The sequence below is a fragment of the Homo sapiens genome, chromosome 14 (assembly GCF_000001405.40).
Source record: "Homo sapiens chromosome 14, GRCh38.p14 Primary Assembly".
Lineage (NCBI taxonomy): Eukaryota > Metazoa > Chordata > Mammalia > Primates > Hominidae > Homo > Homo sapiens.
Genome location: NC_000014.9, coordinates 88,945,102 through 88,965,349, shown reverse-complemented (window position 1 = coordinate 88,965,349; position 20,248 = coordinate 88,945,102).

The window sequence follows — 20,248 nt, the reverse complement described above, 5'->3', positions numbered from 1 at the left end:
ACTAGATAATTCTCTAATTAGGGTTCTTTCTGCTTCAAGTGACAAAAATGCTTCTCAAATTATCTTAAATGAAAAATAGAATTTGGCCAGGTGCTGTGCTGCATGCCTATACTCCCAGTGCACTTTGGGAGGCTGAGGCAGGAGGATCTCTTGACCCCAGGAATTCAAGATCAGCCTGGGCAACATGGCGAGAACCCATCCCTACAAAAAAATACAAAAATAAGCCAGGGAAGGTGACATGCCCCTGTAGTCCTGGCTACTTGGGAAGCTGAGGTGGGAGGATTGCTTGAGCCAGGAGGCAGAGGTTGCAGTGAGCCGAGACAGCATCACTGCACTCCAGGCTGGGCGACAGAAAGAACCTGCCTCAAAAGAGAGTGAGAGAGAGAGAAAGAGAGAGAGATAGAATTTATTGCATTATATGGTTGAAAAGTTCAAGGTTAGAGTCAAGGTCAGTTGGATCCAGAAGCTCAAATTACCAATAGTATTTCCACCTCTTGCTCTTTTCCTTCTATGTTAACTTTAGAAAAAAGTTTTGCCCATCACTGTCAATGATGCCCATCCATAACTCCACATCTTCATTCTACCAGATTGGCAATAAAAATAACTAGCTTCTTTCCCATTAATGACAGCAAAACCCCCTGTGATGACTCTCATTAGGTTTTGATGGTACACAAGCTCATCCCTGAAGCAGTAACAGTGACGAGAAGAGTAAATATTCTGATTTGTATGGACTTCATACATACCCATCTCTGGAGTTAGGGTATGGCCAGCCCCACCAAAACACAATGGCTGAGAGTGAAGGGATAGTTCTCTAAAGAAAGATCTGGGTATTGCTATCAGAGGAACGGGCAATGGAAGGTGAGAACATGAAAATTGATGTCTGCTATAGTCCACCCCTTGAGTGCTCTTCTCTCATGCACATTTCCTCCCATAAACCCACCTTCAAAAGTACCCAGCCAAACATCATGCAACTGATCCACATGCAACACTAAACTCAGTAATCTCAGTCTCCAAAGGGACACAACACAAAGTCTTGTCTAGTTACTGTGCCCACTGCAAACCCAGGCTTTCTTCATGATGTGTATTCTTCTCCGTCAGATTGAGTGTGGCTCTTCATGATCTGCAGCCTTTGAGTAAATGATATTTAACCGTCTACCAGCTTACCCAATACATATGAGTGGAGAAAAAACCAGGACAGTTGCTCTGAAAACATGTGTTTGAAAAAGAGAAACAACATGGTATAGTCCATGGCATATACCACATCCTTTTGGAGAGGGATAGCAAAGCTCCCTGGCTTGGCTGTAGGATGAGTTCCTGGACTAGCCAATCCAGTTTTCTTAGGTTTTGTTCTCCTTGATGCCCTCCATAGACAGGAGAGATGGATATTGGGATGAATTGCACTTTTGGGAATTTCATTCTTTTGCAGCTGATTTTCTGTTAGTGTAAATTCAGGTATTATCAGTTAGAAATGCGCTCATCCACAAGTAACAGAATAATATCTGGCTAGCAGTAGTTTAAATAAGCATGTTTCTTATTCCCACATAATAATATATCTAGAGGTAAGCAGTCACCAGCATTAAGTTGGTGACTCAATGACATGAAGGGCCAATGAACTGTGATTCGACTGGCCTTTTCCAGTAGATGAAATGCTGCAGCTTCAGCCATTGTGTCTGCATTTGAGGAGGAAGAAGATCAAAGGGCCTTCTGTAGCGCCTCTGTTTCTTTCTTTCTTTTGGTATGTTTTTAGAAACAAGGTCTTGCTCCATCACCCAGGCTGGAGTGCAGTGGCATGATCATAGCTCACTGCAGCCTCTAAAGTCCTGGGCTCAAGCAATGCTCCTGCCTCAGCCTCCTGAGTAGCTGGGACAACAGGTGCACACCACCATGCCCAGCTAATTAAAAACTTTTTATAGAGACAGGTTCTCACTATGTTGCCCAGGCTGGTTTTAAACTCCTGGGCTCAGGCAATCCTCTCCCTCTGGCCTCTGAAAGCACTGGGATTACAGGCATGAGCCACCATGCCAACCTATCTGTCCCTCTTATCATGAAATACAAAGGTCCTCCCAGGAGGGTTCAGGGACTTCCACTTAGATCTCATTGCTATAAGCCCACTGCTAGCGGGAAAGGAGGTTGATGAAGCTAGCGTTTTGCCCATCATTCCCTAAAGAAGAATTGAGATTTTATTAGCAAGGAAAGCCTGAAAATTGCCTTAGGGAGTAAGAGTGGGACGTGAGGGATGGCATGGTTTTCCAAAGGAAAGTTTGGAGTTAATTGTCTATCCGAGGGGAAGGAGAAGGGATGCCAGGCAGGGAAGAACAACAGATTGCTATTGCAACCCCAAATGGGCTATTTCTGGCTCAAAATATATCTGTCTCTAAGGGGGAAAATTTGTCTTTGAGCTTAAATAAAGTAATAATAATAATGTCTCAGAAGAGTTTTGGAAAGTGAAGTCAAAGACAACTTATTTTTTAAAACAACACCTTCCTGAAATAACAGACCATGACAACTTAACGATTTTATCAGCAATTTCAGAAAGGATGGAAAAGGAGACTTGATGCATGCTGACGTGTGCTTTGTCTTCTCTAGCATAAGGTAATAGTTCTCATGAGGACACCAAGGAAGGAGGGCCACCATCCACCAGCCCCTTCCGTCTTCCCAGCATTGGAGGTGCTAGAGTTCTCTTTCTAATTTACGTAAGCGCTGAAGCTACATGGCCCAGAGCCTCTGCTATCCCCACTCCCACGCCTATCCTGTAGTAAATATCACTGGACCCAAGGCTAAGAAGGCTTAGAAGAGATTTTTAGATGAGTCATTGGAAGCAAAGTTTCATTATTTCCAGGCTGGATTAGTTGGCTCACCCAATCAACATAAGCCTAAAGGGCCACTTAGAGCCCACAGCCAGGGCCACTGAGTGGTGATTCTGGGAGTCTCTGGCAAGGGGAAGCCAGCAGAGTGGGCAGCAGCACAAAGTGCAATTCTAGGACAGAAGAGCATTCCAGGGAGTGCAGAGAAAATGCTGCTGTTCCAGGCATGCCCCAAGGGAATGAATCTAATAGAAGAGACATCTTCATTGGAAACCGAGTTAATTTTTGAAGCCACAGCTAAAATAGGCATTCCCTCTTCTCCTTTCTCATCATCCCCACCCCCACCTAACCTGAAATAGTAAGAGAAGTGATTAGAAGCAGGTCTGCTAAGCAAAACAGAATGAACCTACTTAACAATAATGACCCCATCCATTCTGTAAAAGAGCACATGGCTGTGTCTTTGACTGTTGGTTCAACGAGAAAAAAAAAATGCATCAACAGAAGATTGTCACTCAGGCAATTTCTAGATCCCAGGGCCCTTTAAATGTATCACCCCACAGAGCGGGAATAGGAATCCTTTTTGGGTTTATCTTCAGGATTTTAATGTTTTCTATTTTTAACCTTTAGAAGAGGAGACCCTGCAAACTAAAAGGAGCCGTTATCCTTGCTAAAGTAATTTAAGCTCTAGGAGAGAGAGTCCAATTTAGCTTTTTAGGGTTTTTGTTGTTGTTGTTAATTCTTTGCAAATTAGAGCAGGTGATGAAAAGAAGAGTTGAGAAGCTGGAGAAATGGATCTCTGGGTGCAAGAAATAGGGCCCTATATGCCAATGGGGCTCCTTCAAATCATATATCATGACATCTTCCTACCCCCAACTGCCCCAGCCTGGACTGCAGAATACGCTTCTGGTCACTCCTCTCTTTAATCCACCCTCTAGGATTCTGTCTGCATTCTTTTTCTACACTTAGGTGTCATCACTTCATTCCTGTGCTTAAAAACCACAGTGAATGCCACGCTGTCTTCAGAAATAAATGCAAACACTAAGGCAATGATACATGAGGCCTTCCAGCCTGTCTCCTGGCTCCAGCCTCTTTTTCCAAGTCATCTCTGTTCTTAGCAGCCAGCAGCCAACAGCCATTGCCTGGCACAGCACCTGCTACACATTCGGTTATATTTGTCCTGCAAATGTTTAACTAGCTGTACCCGTCATAATCTCCTGTACATGACATGCACTTACACTTCTCCAGAGTTTGTACATTCAAGTCATTCCCTTTGCCAGGAGCAGTCTTTCCCATTCCATTTGCTTGGGGAATAGGTCCTTATTCCTAATTCTTCTATTTAAATGTCACCTCTTTTCCGTAGCCTCCCCTAACACTCCCTCTATCCACCCACATACCCCAGGCAGAATTATTTTGGGTTACCATTCCATTTTATGCATTCCTATGCAGTAGCAGCTCCTGGATTGTGTATTTATACACTGATATGCTATAAAGAGATAATTGGGTTCCTAAGAAAATTTATCTTATCAGAATGGAATTTAAAACCAATTGATTCAGTGAGAGATAAAAGGGGTTGAGGTTAGGGCATTTGAGGCTCACAATAACAAAGTTAGTTTTCCTGCAGGAATTTCAATAATAAAGGTGTTTTGTAGCTATCAGAGTATTTAATTGCAAGCTAAAACGATCAAATTACTTTATCAAGAAAGACAAACATCTCATTGCCTCACAAGCCACACACCCCCGAGCCTTCTCAACCTCAATCATCTTTGGCCTTGACCTTGCAAACTTTGTTGGCATCGCAATTCATAATGCAAGTAAACTAAAGGACACAGCATGAACAAGTGTACAAAGAAAGCATCGCTCATGCCACTGTGAGGCCTGGTGCTTTGTTCCCACGACCTGTCATCCTGCTCATCAGGGCCTAATCCCTAGTGACAAGCCTGTAGTGACCAATGGCAATCAGAGTATTGCAAATTGTGTTTGCTTATTTATTGACCTTATGGTCAATATCCAATTTAATTAAGAAAATCCTTTCTGGTGGGGCACAGTGGCTCACACCTGTAATCCCAGCACTTGAGAAGCTGAGGCAGGAGGATTGCTTAAGGCCTGGGCAACATACAGAAACTCTGTCACTACACATAAAAAATAAACAATTAAAGCTTTAATTACATCCTGTATGTTGATGGTTCTCAAACTTGGATCTTCAACCCAGAGGTGGTCCTCCACACTCTAGACTTCTACATCCAACCTTCTTGACCTTTCCACCTGAAGCTCAAGATTCATCTATTAAAAATTGAACTCTTGATTCTATACCCTCCCCCATAAACTACTTCTCCCTAGTAGCCTTCTCTCTAGGTAAATACTTCTGTTATTCACAAGGTTGTGGAGGCCAGAAGCCTGGGAGTCTTTCTCCATTCATCTCCCTCCCTTATCTTCCATTTCCAAATCTCAAAACTGTTTCTTGAGTCCATCCCCATACACATCACCGAAGTCCAAGCCATGATCATCTTTCAAGTGAACCATGGCACGAGTCCCTCAGCTCATCAGAGGTGGAGTGAGCTTCCTTGGATCACTTGAATCTTCAAGTGGGACAGGGAAGGAGATCGTGGAAACAGGGAAATCATTCATCATACATTCATCACTGACCCAAGGAAGTCACAGACTCTAATGCATTCCTAGACCAAATGGAATTATCACTTGGATTTCCCCCTGCTTTTTGTGATTTGTGATGTGACCGTTTCTTGTTAGCATACATATGGTTAGAGTTGAGAATACTTCGTGAAATGTTAGTATTGGAAAACACTTTGAGATCTGTATGATGAGTCTATAATAATACCTGTGTCACAGAGTTGTTGGGAGAAGGAGATGAGATAGTTCACATAAAGCGTTTATCATAGTTCTCAATGAATATTCATATTTTATTTTAAGGGGTTGATTGTCTATCCTACTCACTCAGTTTATGACAATAAAATCTTGTTATCAGCATATAGAAGTTTGGGATGAGGGATGAGAGCATATCAAACTCATGCTAGACACTAAGCAAGCTCTAGTCAAAGTCAAGACTAAAGCTAATTAACTGGATAATGCAGGACCTTTATTATCAATTCAGCAATCTTGGAGTGACAAAGTTGAACAAGACAAAATCTCTGCTTGGTGTCCTCCCATCTAGAAGAAAGGTAATACATTAATAAACAGAGGTCTTTCTCCTACACACTTCTTTCTTTCTTTCTTTTTCTTTCTCTCTCTCTCTCTCTTTCTTTCTTTCTTTCTTTCTTTCTTTCTTTCTTTCTTTCTTTCTTTCTTTCTTTCCTTCTTTCTTTCTTTCAGACAGACATTGTTCTTGCCCTTTCACCCAGGCTAGAGTACAGTGGCACAATCATAGCTCACTGCAGCCTCAAACTCCTGGGCTCAAACCATCTGCTCACCTCAGCTTCTCGAGCAGCTGAGACAACAGAAGAGCACTAACACGCTTAGCTAATTATTTGTCCCATGGACAAAGAAGTGGGAAATAATGACATAAAATGACCACTCCAAAATAAAACTTCTCGTTTTGAGAAAATGCCCTCCAATCTTTAACTGGTTTATAGGACTACACATCAAACAGAAAGCCAATTCATTTATTTACACATTCACAAATTTTGCAATTAGTTTATCTTGCAGGATTTAACTGCTTAACGTTAGACATTCAATGGGTGCTTTGTTTTTATGGCTCAGATAGTGCTAATTTGAACATTCTTAAACTAAAATGGCCACAGCTCTTTTCCATAGTAGAAAACCAAGGCTCTAACCATACATTTGTCCAGTGTAGTATTGGGCCAGAGATGTTTTCTAAAAGAAATCTTAGCCATATCCAGGGGCACTCATCTAAAGTGAGGTATGCAGGGGAAAAATGGTTCCATTTTTACAAAAGGCGTCAACCCTCCTCAAGAGTTGGCTGAACATTAGAGCATATGGATCCACACTTAATCCATACCACAATACATGTTCCCCTGTACCCATCCACGCATATCCTTGAATTCCCTGCCACATGATTCTTATCAAAAGCCTATTTGTAGGCTGGGTGTGGTGGCTCATGCCTGTAATCCCAGCACTTTGGGATGCCAAGGCAGGTGGATCACCTGAGGTCAGGAGTTTGAGACCAGCCTGACCAACATGGTGAAACCCAGTCTCTACTAAAAAATACGAAATTAGCCAGGTGTGATGGCACATGCCTGTAATTCCAGCTACTTGGGAGGCCAAGGCAGGGGAATCACTTGAACCCAGGAGGCAGAGGTTCCAGTGAGCCAAGATAGTGACATTGCGCTCCAGCCTGAGCAACAAGAGCAAAACTCTGTCTCAAAAAAAAAGTCTTATTTGTAGAAATAATAGTTATGACATTATGCATCTAGTCTTTTGGATTGCAGATAAAGTATCTCAAATCCGTTTTGTAATGAGGCATTTTATATATACAACTAATTAATCAGGGCGATTTCAGGCAAGCCATTTTACCTCTTTTCACCTTAGTTTCCACACTGGTACCATGAAGTAATTGGTCTGGGTGACCTCAAAGTGTTTTCCAATATTAACATTTCACGAAGAATTCTCAACTCTAACCATATGTGTGCTAACAAGAAACGGTCACATCACAAATCACAAAAAGCAGGGGGAAATCTAAGTGATAATTCCATTTGGTCTAGGAATGCATTAGAGTCTGTGACTTCCTTGGGTCAGTGATGAATGTATGATGAACCATTTCCCAGTTTCCAAGATCTTCTTCCCTGTCTCACTTGAAGATTCAAGTAGATCCAAGGAAGCTCACTCCACCTCTGATGAGTTGAGGGACTTGTGCCATGGTTCACTTGAAAGATGATCATGGCTTGGACTTGGGTGATGCATATGGAGATGGACTCAAGAAACAGTTTTGAGATTTGGAAATGGAAGATGACAGAGGGAGATGAATGGAGAAAGACTCCCAGGCTTCTGGTCTCTACAACCTTGTGGATAACAGAAGTATTTACTGAGAAAGAAGGCTACTAGGGAGAAGTAGTTTGGGGGTGGGTATAGAATCAAGAGTTCAATTTTTAATAGATGAATCTTGAGCTTCAGGTGGAAAGGTCAAGAAAGTTGGATGTAGAAGTCTAGAGCATAGAGGACAGCTCTGGGTTGAAGATCCAAGTGTGGGAATCATCAGCATACGGGATGCGATTAAAGCTTTAGGACTGGATAAAATCACCAAGGGACAGAGCATAGACAGAGACAAGAATGGGCTTTTCTCCCATTTCCTAGACCTGTTAAATTTTTATCCTAGTCTCTTTCCCCTGCCAGTCTTCCTCATAGTTACCCTTAATCAACCAATTAATTAATGAATAAACAATATATTTTCTTAATGAATATTTTTTAATCAGAGATCTTACTTACATTTCTCTATGTTTCAGAGTTCTCTTATTCAACAATGGGAATTTAATGAGAATTAGGTCAAATTCTTTCTCAAATCCAGAGCCTTCTCCAAAGAGTCGTTCGTATCTGGCCCACACAATCACAGGTTGGCATTGTTCATGTGCATTCGTTCCCACTCCCCAGCCCCTGGTGGCTTCTAAAAGTTCTTTGAGGGGAAGGAGCATAACCGGTTCATCCTTGTATCCATCACAGCACCTAGCACAGTGCCAAGTCAGCACAGATTTCCTGACTAACCTAATGGCCATTCTTAAGCCAGGGTCTTGGGGGTATTGAATAGTGGATATGAAATGTATGAACCAAAGCTTTGATCTGGCCTTGGCCCCAAAGGGAGATTCATTGGCTCATGATATAAAAACCCAGGAAGAGCAGGGGTGGGGTTGGCCTTGCGGAACAGCTAGAGCCTTCTCCAGTACCAATAGGGTCTCCTCCCCATTCTGTTTCCACTTCTTGTTGAGTGTTAGCCTAGTATGCTATCACTCATGGGCTTACATCTGCATTACACTTAACACTCTCACAAATCATCTTGTTTATTTACTTGTTTGTTACCTGCTTTCCTACTTCCCACCCGCTGCATCATGTAAACTCCCTAGAAAGAGGGAGTTGCATCTGTCTTGTTCATTGCTACTTCCCCAGATAGAAAAGTACCTATATATAGGTGGAGACCTTGTAAATATTTTAAGAATGAATGAATGAATGGCTTCTTCATGCAATAGGCAAAGGCTCCATCCCAATTTGATCATCTCTAAGTCCAGTCACTGTGTCCAGGGGTTTGAGGTACTCTGATGGGCTCATCTTGAGTCACGCACACACCTGTGTCTGGTGGTCGGGAGGAGGCACAGCACCAGAAGTAGAACAGAGGTGAAGAGGAGAGAGCAACAAGTAGCGTAACAAGTAGTGTCTTAGGCCCTGCTGAGAGTAAGGCACTCTTGTTTCTGAGCTCTTTTTGGAAATATGTGGGCATTATGCCTTCCAGACTCCTCACTGCTGAATTATAATTACTTAGACATACTTTGAAGACACATTCTCTGAGAAATATAGTTCAACCTTCAGTATATAACACTGTTCTTCAAACCAGAATTCAAAATGCATAATCTGATAAATACAGGGACAACAAGATGCCACATCTAAATCAGAGCCTTTCCAAAAATTTCATGACAGATGTTGTTTTTCCTGTAGGCATCCACTCTAAGTTAGCTGGAAAGCCATTCACCATTTGAGCCTTGACTCCATTAATGGCATTTATGAGGGTAAAGGCTGGCATTAGCTCACTCACATCATTCCCAGACTTACTTGCCTTTGGTTTCCAGCATTGAGTCCAATTTCCCTTAACCACTTGGAAAAGTGGCAAATTATAGGGAACAAATGTCCCTTCCAGCAGCAGGAGAGACACCTGCCTAGTGAATCAGCAGTTATGCAGATGGTGAGATAGAGAAGCCAAGCAGGAAGGATCTGAAGTCTGTTGTCCTGATCAACAATCAGTGCCAAAGCCATCTTTCCCCTTTCTAGTCCTGCTGGGATGAACCACGTGGCTTTCCACAAAAATGTAGGTCATTTAAAATGCTGCCAGCAAGCTGCTGTTTCTTATTGCCAAGACACTGGAAAACCTATAGTGACTAGAAATTATTTCCAAGCCGGTGCTTCTCACTTAGAGAATCCAGATTTTGAAAGCTACTTTCTCCCATTCTACACTCAAAGCCATGATTATTCTTCAGTGTTGCCCAAATATCCACCAAGTCTGTATGGGTATGTGTTGGGGAAAGGAGGAAGTAGGAGGAACAGAAAGACAGCATGACGCCTTGTTTTTAAAGGCAGGAGTTATCATTTTGCAATTTAGTCTTGAAGGTATTTAAAAACATAATACTTCTAGGAAGAATGAAAATGTAGTCATTTTGCCAAGATCTGGAAACATTTGGCCTTTAGTTTGGCTGAGAAAGAAAAATATCTGTTTCACTGATTGAATTTACCATTTTGCAAAAGTATTTCTGTTTAATTTATGAAATTTAATCATGATCCATGCTGGGATTTATTGCTTCACATTAATGCTCCCTTTGAAGAGGGGAGGAAAGACCTAGGGTTGGGAGGAAAGAAGGATTCTTTCCAAAGTACTATAAGACTTAATTTGGATTTCATTAAATCTCATTAACTCACTAATACAGAATTTATGACACTTTGGACAGAGAGTGATCTGGTCTTTATCTTGGTTTAATCTATGAAAAAGTGATTTTTCTCTGCAGGTGAATGATACAAATAAGGTCTTATGGGAAGAGTCTATATACAAGATATAATAAATATTCATTAGATACTTTCTTTTCCACACAAGTGCTATGCTAATTTCAAAATGGTTAATATTTTCATTAAAGAAAATGGATGGAGATCACCTCTTGACAATATTTTTCTACTTTGCTTACTGTTACTTATTTATTTGTACTCTATGCACTTACAAAAAAAGGATTTAAGCCAGCCTACAAAAAGGGGCATATTTACATAGATAAAATTAAAATCACACAGAAATATTGAAACAGATTTTCACTAAATTTGGAGGATATTTTGGGGGTGGTGATATGGTTTGGATTTGTGTCCCCGCCCAACTCTCATGTTGAATTGTAATCCCCAATGTTGGAGGTGGGGCCTGGTGGGAGGTGACTGAGGGTGATTTCCATGATCTCCACCTTGGTGCTGTTCTCATTACAGTGAGTGATCTCTCATGAGATCCAGTTGTTTATAAAAGTATATAGCACCTCCCCCTTCTCTATCTTGCTCCTGCTTTGGCCATGTGAGAAGTGACTGCTTCCTCTCTGCCTTCCATCATGATTGTAAGTTTCCTGAGGCCTCCCCAGAAGCCAAGCAGATGCCAGCATCATGCTTCCTGTACAGCCTATGGAACTGTGAGCCAATTAAACCTCTTTTCTTTATAAATTACCCAGTCTCAGGTATTTCTTTATAGCAATGTGAGAACGGGCTAATACAGATGGTCTATCTTAAAATATGTGATGAGTGTGAAATTCATTTTGAAGAGTCCTGGGAAGTGCTGCAAAAAGATAGTATAGCAATTTTATGAGAAAGCCCCAAACAATAGTGACTTCAATAAAGTGAAAGTTTATTTCTGCCTCACCTAAGAGAAGCCTCAAGCTAGGCAGTCCAGAACTAACAGGGTGACTCTCCAGACACTAAGGACCCGGGGAAACATTGTTTGGCTCCATCATCCTCATGCTGGCTTCCATCTTTTGGGACACCTCCTAGTCCAAGATGACTGCTGGTATGCCAGTGTGCTACCCAGTCAATAGGTAGGAGAAAAAGAGGAAAGACAAATGGGTACTCCTGCAATGAATGAGTCAGCACACTTTAAACAACCTCCCTAGAAATCCCACACAAAACTGACACTTATAGCTCATTGGCCAAAATTTATTCATGTGACCATACCTTGCTCCAAGGGAGCTTTTCTTAATAAAGGAAAAGAAGATAATGGATGCAGAGTAGACCCAACCAGCCCTTGCCATGAATAGATAGCCATCCTCCTGAGCAGCTGAAATTGTGGTAGAATCAGAGTGGAAGAAATAGAAAATTAGGAGTAAAGAACGTGCAAGAATTTATGCAGTCTCTATGATTAAATAACAGATTTAACATTGAGCTTCTAGTTAACCAGGACAAAAGGGAAAGAGATATTTTTACTAAAGAAGCAAATATATCAATTCCTCAGTAGAGACAATGTTTTCCCCAGAATTAAATTCTATAATGTTTCTCTCACTGGGACCACATATAAAAATAATAGCCACATGTGCTGAATTTTTTAAATTACTCTCATTATTAAATATTCTATCCCATTGTTCTCTATACAAATACTCACCCACGCATGTCCAATTTCTGTTTTAGAAAACGTAGTCACCATGAGTATTGGAAACAGTGAAAGACGTAATTGAATGTTCTTGATAAGCTCTGCAGGGAGTGTAAAAAGTGCTTCTGTGGAGATCAGTAGGAGGGATGAACCAGAAATATCATAGTGGTGCCGCCCATGCACCAACAAAGGCTTCATCGGCCAGGGAGACTTTGATGCCAGGCATGATTAAGTCCTGGACTGGCTCAGCTTAATGGAAATGCACAGAGATTGAAACAAGCACCAGCAACAAGATAGCTGTTAGGAAGACCACGGGTGCCTTCACTGGCACCATCTGTACATTTTCTACCTCTAGGAAGACACGTGGGAAGCCAAATCTTCTGATGGTCCACACTTAGGACCTGTCATGAGAAATCTCTATCAGAGGCATCAAAACCCCTACAGTTAGTTCATTTTCCTCTCAAGGCAGATCTACATGCAAATCCGAAGTTTGCTTTGAAAACAAGGAAAGTTAAGTGATACACAAACTATGTAAGGGCATTGAGCTAATACCCATTAACCACATAGATGTGATAGTTTTGCCTAGAGATTGGAAATCACAGAATCTTTTGGCTAAGATTCTTCTTCCCTGGACAGTGTCTGAATGGGCACGGCCAACATTTGCCCCTTTGCTCTCCTCTTTCTAGGCTCCTGTGGCTGCCCCAAACCCTTTGGGTTGCAACTCTCTTTGATGATGTCACTACAGTCAATCAGGATAACTCACATCCTACTGACCTGAGAAGGTTTTGTCTCTTTCATGTGATCTTTCACTTCTTTGTTCTTCTTCATCAATTATTTCTCTGTCAGGTTGACACTGAGAGGGAAATCCAGGTTCATGTGAAGTCACCAAATGCAGGTCTTCAAATCACCTTCCAGAAATGCCAAAAACACAGCATAAGAGTCCAGTGGCTGCCATATATTGAGGGCCCACTGTGAAAGCCACTGCTCTGGGCAGTTTTATGTGTACTTTATCATGAAACCCATACAATAAATCTGGTGGAAACTATTATTATTCTCATCTTACAGCTAAGAAAACTGAAACTTGCAAAGTGCATTTACTTCCTAGGGTTATCATAACCAATCAATACAAACTTGGTGGCTTAAAACAACGAAAATACATTCCCTCCCAGTTTTTGAGGCCAGAAGTCTAAAATCAGGGTGTTGGCAGGGCCACACTCCCTCCAAAGTCTCTATGGGACCATCTATTCCTTGCCTTTCCAGCATCTGGTGTAGTGACATCCTTCCAATCTCTCCTCCATCTTCACAACACCTTCTCCTCTGTGTGTCTTCTCTCTTTGTTTTCTATTATAAGGACACTTGTGATTGTGAAACCAGCCCAATTTCCCCATATAACTTGTGTTGTTGTTGTTGTTGTTGTTTGGAATAAACATTGAAATTGACCCTCTTAGTCTTAAAGCTTGAGAAACAACATTTGTCTTATCTGAGTTCCTTTCTGTGGAAACTGACCATCAGGTCTCCCAGATAGTATCAAGGAACTGAAACTTTCCAGATCACCACATCCAGACAGTGAGATGCCACACAACCCCTCATTCGACCACCTCCTGTCTGTGATCAACTTGTTTTCCTTGTGCCTCCCTAATTCCTGTTTTATATAACCCCCCTAACTTTAGTCAGTTGTAAGGATAGATCTGAGACTTGTGTCCTATTTTCCAGCTGACGTCATTCACAATAAAGCCTTTCTTCCTGGGCAAAACTTATTGTCTCAGTGATTGGCTTCCTGTGTGTCAAGTTTGGCAACAATTGAATGTAGGGTTCATCCGGATGATCCAGGATAATCTCATGTCAAGATTTTTAACTTAAGTACATGTTTTAACACCCATTTTCCAAATAAAGTCACATTCACAAGTTCTGGGATTAGGATATGGACATATCTTTTTGGAGGCTACCATTCAATGCACTGCAGGGAGGTTAGGTCTCGATCCAGAACACTTAAAGAGTAATTTTTGGCTACACAGAATGGATGTGGATGGGAATATGAAAGGCCACCCCTATTTTTTAAAGAATAAGCCTAGAGCCTATGAACCTTAAAAACAGGACATACTCAGCCTTATACAAACCCAACTGCCAAGGTTCTCTGCCTATACACTTTTAGCATTCTCCCACTGACAAGATATAGAAGAGGACAAAAAAAGTGAGGTGCTTGTTAACCGCAACCCTCTGGTGCCCAGGTAGACTCTCTACCAGGGACGCTTCCTCTTTGGAGGGACTGGGCAGGACCAACATTGAGAATCACATTACTGGTGAGTTAAAGAAAGATAATGGGGTTGAGGATAGAATCTGGTTCCGTTTCACTGGCTCCCCATTAGTCTGAGCTCTTTAATAATAGATGGTACTATGAGAGGTCATGCCACAGTTGGGTAGGTCGCTGGCAGTTTTGCCCAACACTTGTGGCAGCTTCTGCAGAGCATTGGCTCTATGTGTGCCTCCTAACACATCCACCACATGCCAGGCTCTGTGCTATGTCCTGGGGATAAAGTACCATTCAGCCATGCTCCCTGCTGCCAAAGTGCTTAAGAGGAGAAGACAAACCAGTGAACAAATAAATGTGCAAGGCAAGATATAAGCATCGCAGTAACGCAAACTTCAACACAGAGGAGGGAATGATTCATTTCCAGCAGAGGCAGAACTCAGGGATGTAGTTGTTGTCGTTGTTTTGTTTTGTTTGGTTTGGAGTCAAGATCTCACTGGTCACCCAGGCTGGATTGCAGCAGCATGATCACAGCTCACTGCAGCCTCGACCTCCCGGGCTCAAGCAATCCTCCTGCCTCAGCCTCCCAAGTAGCTGTGACTGCAGGCATGTGCTACCATGCCTGGCTAGTTTTTGTGCTTTTTGCAGAGATGGGTTTTTGCCACATTACCCAGGCTGGTCTTAAATTTCTGGGCTCAAGCCATTCGCCTACCTCAGCCTCCCAAAGTGCTGGGATTCCTGGCATGAGCCACCACACCCACCCTCAGGAATGTTTTTCAAGGAGGTACTGGGTTTTTTTTAACCCAAGATTATACAGCCAGTAGTCAAAGCAGCTGGAATGAGGAGCCTGGCTCCAAACACATTCCCAATATTCTTTCAATTCCATGAAGACATTCGTGCAAAGGCACAACTAATGACATAGAAGTATGTACCCCAGATGGTCTGACCTGCTCCAAATTGGAACTTAGAATACCTGCAGGGGTGGATGCAATATTTGTCTGTGTCCCCTTTGTGAAATGCCACCTGTCTTACCTGGCTGCTGAAGATGGAAGATGCAATAGCAAAATAATCAAGATTTCTCTTTTGGAAGCTGTCCTAGACCATTGGCTTGCGGACTCCATGGTTGGGACAAGCAGAAAACCAGATGGTCATACTCTGTTTATTTTCTTTAAAAAGTACTTTAATTGCATATTTTCTCCAAAAATTTAATCTTTTAACATTTAATAGTTTCAACTGACTTCTCTTCATTAATCTAATTAGTAAGATAAATTCACATACTCTTTAGGGTAAAGACAGCGTCCTTTCATCTCTGTAGCCCCCACCAGATCTAGCCCAGATTCCTGCATGCAGTAGGTAGGCACGATAATTTTACTGAATCAAGTGGAGCTCTGTTCAGCGTCCCTATATGACGTGAAAACCCATAAGAATTCAAGTCGTGTTTGTTTTATCATAAGTTCAAAGCAATAAAGCCTGTGGATAATATAATCTGGTGAGTAATTATTATCTGAGTGAAAGATTGCTTTACATATTATTCTAAATTTATTTTAGACCACTGAAAATAATGAGTTCCAAGTGATAATACAGTAACACTGCTACCTCCCATGAAGAGGCTAAATGTCTTACAGGAGTGGACCACATTTGGAGCTTGCTGGGAGCTAAGAGTTGTGGGCTAAGATTGTTTTGTTTTATTTATTTATTTTTATTTATTTTTTTGAGATGGAGTCTCGCTTTGTTGCAGACTAGAGTGTAGTGGTATGCTCTTGGCTCACTGCAAACTCCACTTCCCAGGTTCAAGCGATTCTCCTGCCTTAGCCTCCCGAGTAGCTGGAACTACAGGTCCAGCTAATTTTTTCGTATTTTTAGTAGGGTTTCACCATGTTGGCCAGGCTGGTCTGGAACCCCTGACCTCCAGTGATCCATCCCCCTCGGCCTTCCAAAGGGCTGGGATTACAGGTGTTAGACACCACACCTGGCCCATTTTGTTGTAATCATAACTTTCTTTCTGCCGACATTTTCCTTCATTGCCCTTCTCCTCATTCAATCAGCCAGTCTATCCCAGGAGGGCTCTGACAACACCCCAGGAGCCTCCTCCTGGCTTTGGTTCCTAAGAGCCTGAAGCCCTAGATAGGAGACCACATTTTGGGAAAAGGGAGGCTTTCCCTAAAGATTAAGCAAGAATTCCCCAGACTGTGGGGTGGGAAAATGGAGGTGAGGTGATGAGGTTATAGGCACTGGGAGGTTCTGACACAGGGGACCCAGCAGTCTGCTTTCTGGTAGATCCAGCAAGACCTCAGAGAGGAGAGGGCTGGCTTGTGAAATTAAGCAGGAATGTTACTGTAACCCCGCAGTCGTGGGGAAAGCACCCAGACCCAAAGGACCTCTGTGGATAGGACACGGACACCTTAGTGACAAACTGCACAGACCGTCCCTGCCGCATCTCTTAGTAAGTCACCACAGGCTGTCTTTCCAACAAGGTTGGAGCAGCAGTCGAAGTCAATACTTCAACTGCTTGTACTATAAATGTTTGTGCTTTTTTGTCTTTTTGTGGAGGAGTTGCTGAACACATAGAGTTGAATTTCCTGAAGTTATGTATGATGCAACTCTTCCTTTCTATCCAGAGTTGAGAAGGGGATGGGAAAACACTCATGCCTAGTGCTGATAGGTGCTGTGTGCAGGACCATTTGACAAATCTTATCACAACCTTTAAAAGCATGCAGACCACTGGTCTCTGTATCTCGACCGCTACACATTTATTCATTCCAAGAAATACTCAATTTTGTTCCAAATATTACAACATCAAGAAGTTAGTAACAAGAACATTCGGCGGAGCATTGTTCACAACAGAAAAATATAATAGGAAACTACCAAACTCTCCATCACAGGGCTGAATGAATCCTGGGAAGGTGAAAGCTCTCTCAACCTACCTAACTGAACCAGACTCCTCTTCCTCTGTAAAACCTGGTGACTGAGGCCATGGCCCTGCCGGTGTGCCTGTGCATATAAGGGTACTCAATACTCCAGCTCCCGACTGCTGAGGTGTGAGTTTAGTGAGTCTGTTGGCTTTGCCTCCAAAGTAGTTTATGGCAGCTGTATGCATTAATTTTATCTCATAATATAACTAAATATTATGCAAACTGATGAAGTGTGCATGCAGAGAGAATATGTGTTTCTATGAAAACTGTGTTAAATGCCTAGGAAAGACTTCATAAATGGAAAGTTGCCAAAGAATTGCTGCAGAATGAGATGTGGGTGAAACAGCTATAAATGAGTGGGGAAAATTATGAGGATTTTACACCAGAATTGCTTGGCTGTATCTTTAAGTACTCACTCCACATTAAAGACACAGAAACTGGAGATGTAGATGGTGCCATCATGGGTGTGGTTTAGGTGAGACAAAGAGCTAGCACTCCAGCTAGCAAGTCCTGTGCTCTGTGCAAAAGACTGGTGAGTGAATATGCATTTTTTTATGCTTTCATTGGAACTAAAATGCCTAAGGTACATATGTGAAATTGTCCAGGATTCCAAAATCTTATCAGCTTTTTCTATTAATTAAGCAGCTGCTGAGACATTGGACAAAAGGAAGACTACTGCATATTCATAGAAAGAAATGTTCTTCATTCAAAACAAAAAGCTAGAAGAGTATATTTTGACAGACCTTCACAATATATTGTCAAATGAAAAAAATCGGGTTAAAAATAGGCACAGTGGAATCTCATTCATGTAAAAACTGTGTGTGTTAAAAATAAATACTTTTTTTTTTGAGACAGAGTCTCATTCTGTTGCCCAGGCTGGAGTGCAGTGGCAGGATCTCCCCTCACTCTAACCCCCGCCTCCCCGGTTCAAGCGATTCTCCTGCCTCAGCCTCCCAAGTAGCTGGGATTACAGGTGCCCCCCACCATGGCTGGCTAATTTTTGTGTTTTTAGTACAGACAAGGTCTCTCCATGTTGACCAGGCTGGTCTGGAACTCCTGACCTCAAATGATCCACCTGCCTCAGCCTTCCAAAGTGCTGGGATTACAGGCATGAGCCACCGCACCTGGCCAAAAATAAATACACTTTTTAAAATGTCTGAGTGGTGAGAATATGAGTGACTTTTGTTTCCTTTTTCATGCTTTTGATATCTTCTTATATGTCTACAATAAATACTTTGTAGAAAAAATAAAATTACAAGAAAGTAGATTTTTGGATAGAAAATATATATACATTTGTACCTAGGGAGCCCAGAGAGGAGGACAGAATGCTTCTGGTTGGGGCTAGGATTTCCCAAGAGAAGCCTGGGAAGACTGAGCCCTGGCCCAGTGGCATGCTCCCCACCCTCTGGGCACCTGCAAGGTGTTCAGTAAGGGGGTGCCGATAGGCCTGTTTTCCATCACCTTGGGCTCGCAGATCTAGGGCTGACTGGGCCGAACTGGAAGTGATCACTCATGGTGTCTCATGCAGTGACAGTCAGGTGGTGATGGGGCTGAGGTCATTCAAGGGCTTCTTCACTGGCTCTCTGGCACCTGGGCTGGAACCTGGAACTGCTGGGGCTCCGTTGGGCATCTCCTCCTCCTCCTCCTTTCCCTCTCTCTCTTTCCTCCTCTCCCTCTCTCTCTTTCCTCCTCCTCTTCTTCTCCTTCTTTTTCTCTTCCTCCTCCCTATCCTCCTTCTTACCTCCTCCTTGTTCTTCTCTCTTTCTCTTTCCTCCTTTTCCCCTTTCTCTTCCTCCTCTTCCTCCTTCTCCTCTTCATCCTCTCTTTCCTTCTTCTCTCTCTTCCCTCTCCAACATCTTCTCTTTCTTCTTCTTCCCTCCCTTCCTCCTTCTATATAGGGCAGCTAGACTTGTGTGTGTGTGTGTGTGTATACATATATATATATGTATATACACACATACAATATATATATATATTTTAATATATATATAGTGTGTGTGTGTATATATATGTATATATATATATGTATTTAAAACCCTGCATTTTTATTTAAGCCTAGACCGCTCCAGCTTCTGTCTGAGGTGCCTTCTCCAAATGCACAGTTCCACTGGGGAAGTAAGTACCACTGACTGACTGGGTGGTGTAAACAATAGGAATTTATTGTCTTACAGTTCTGGAAGCTAGATCAAAGTGTCAACAGGATTGGTTCGTCCTGGAGGCTCTGAGGGAGACTCTGTTCCAGGCCTCTCCTCCACCCTCTGATCATTCGCTGGAAATCTCTGTTGTTCCTGGGCTTGTGGCAGCAGAATTCCAATCTTCACACCGTGTCCTCCCTGTGTCTGGGTGTCTGTGTCCACATTTCCTCTTTTTTCTCAGGACGCCTGTCATACTGGATTAAGGGCCCACCCTACCCCAGTCTGGCCTCATCTTAACTAATTATGTGTATAACAACCCTATTTCCAAATGAGCTCACATTCTGAGGCGCTGGGGGTTAGGATTTCAACATATGAACTTTTGAGGGACATGGTGGAATCCATAACAGCCAGAGACTCCTCTCCTGCCAAGCACATCATAAGGACCTACTGCATTCAACCCACTCTGCCTGTGGCACTGTGCCTCTGTGCCTGTCTAGAGGGCCAGTCTGCCCATTTGATTTTATTCAGAAAGGTTTCCTCAATGCCTCCCACACATGTGGAGAACATGGAACAGAACAGAGCAGGAGGCTTCCCTGAAGCCATTCTCGTGAGTGCCATGTTCCTTTTCATCACAAGACTTGGTTCTAGCAGACACCCAAGGGAGGTGAGCTTTTTCCAAAGCTCAGAGAGTTTTCAGGCTGAAACTTCCCACCCTGCAGGGCAAGCTTACTTTCAAACCCCCATTCAGGGAGGCCATTTGTGGGGTCTGTCTGGCTCTGCTGGTTTGAGTTCTGTCTGCCTCTGAGAAGCCCTCCCCAGCATCCTCCAATCTCCCAGGGCCCCTCCAAGGGTGGTTCTGCCTGTGTCTCCTCTCACACCTTCTC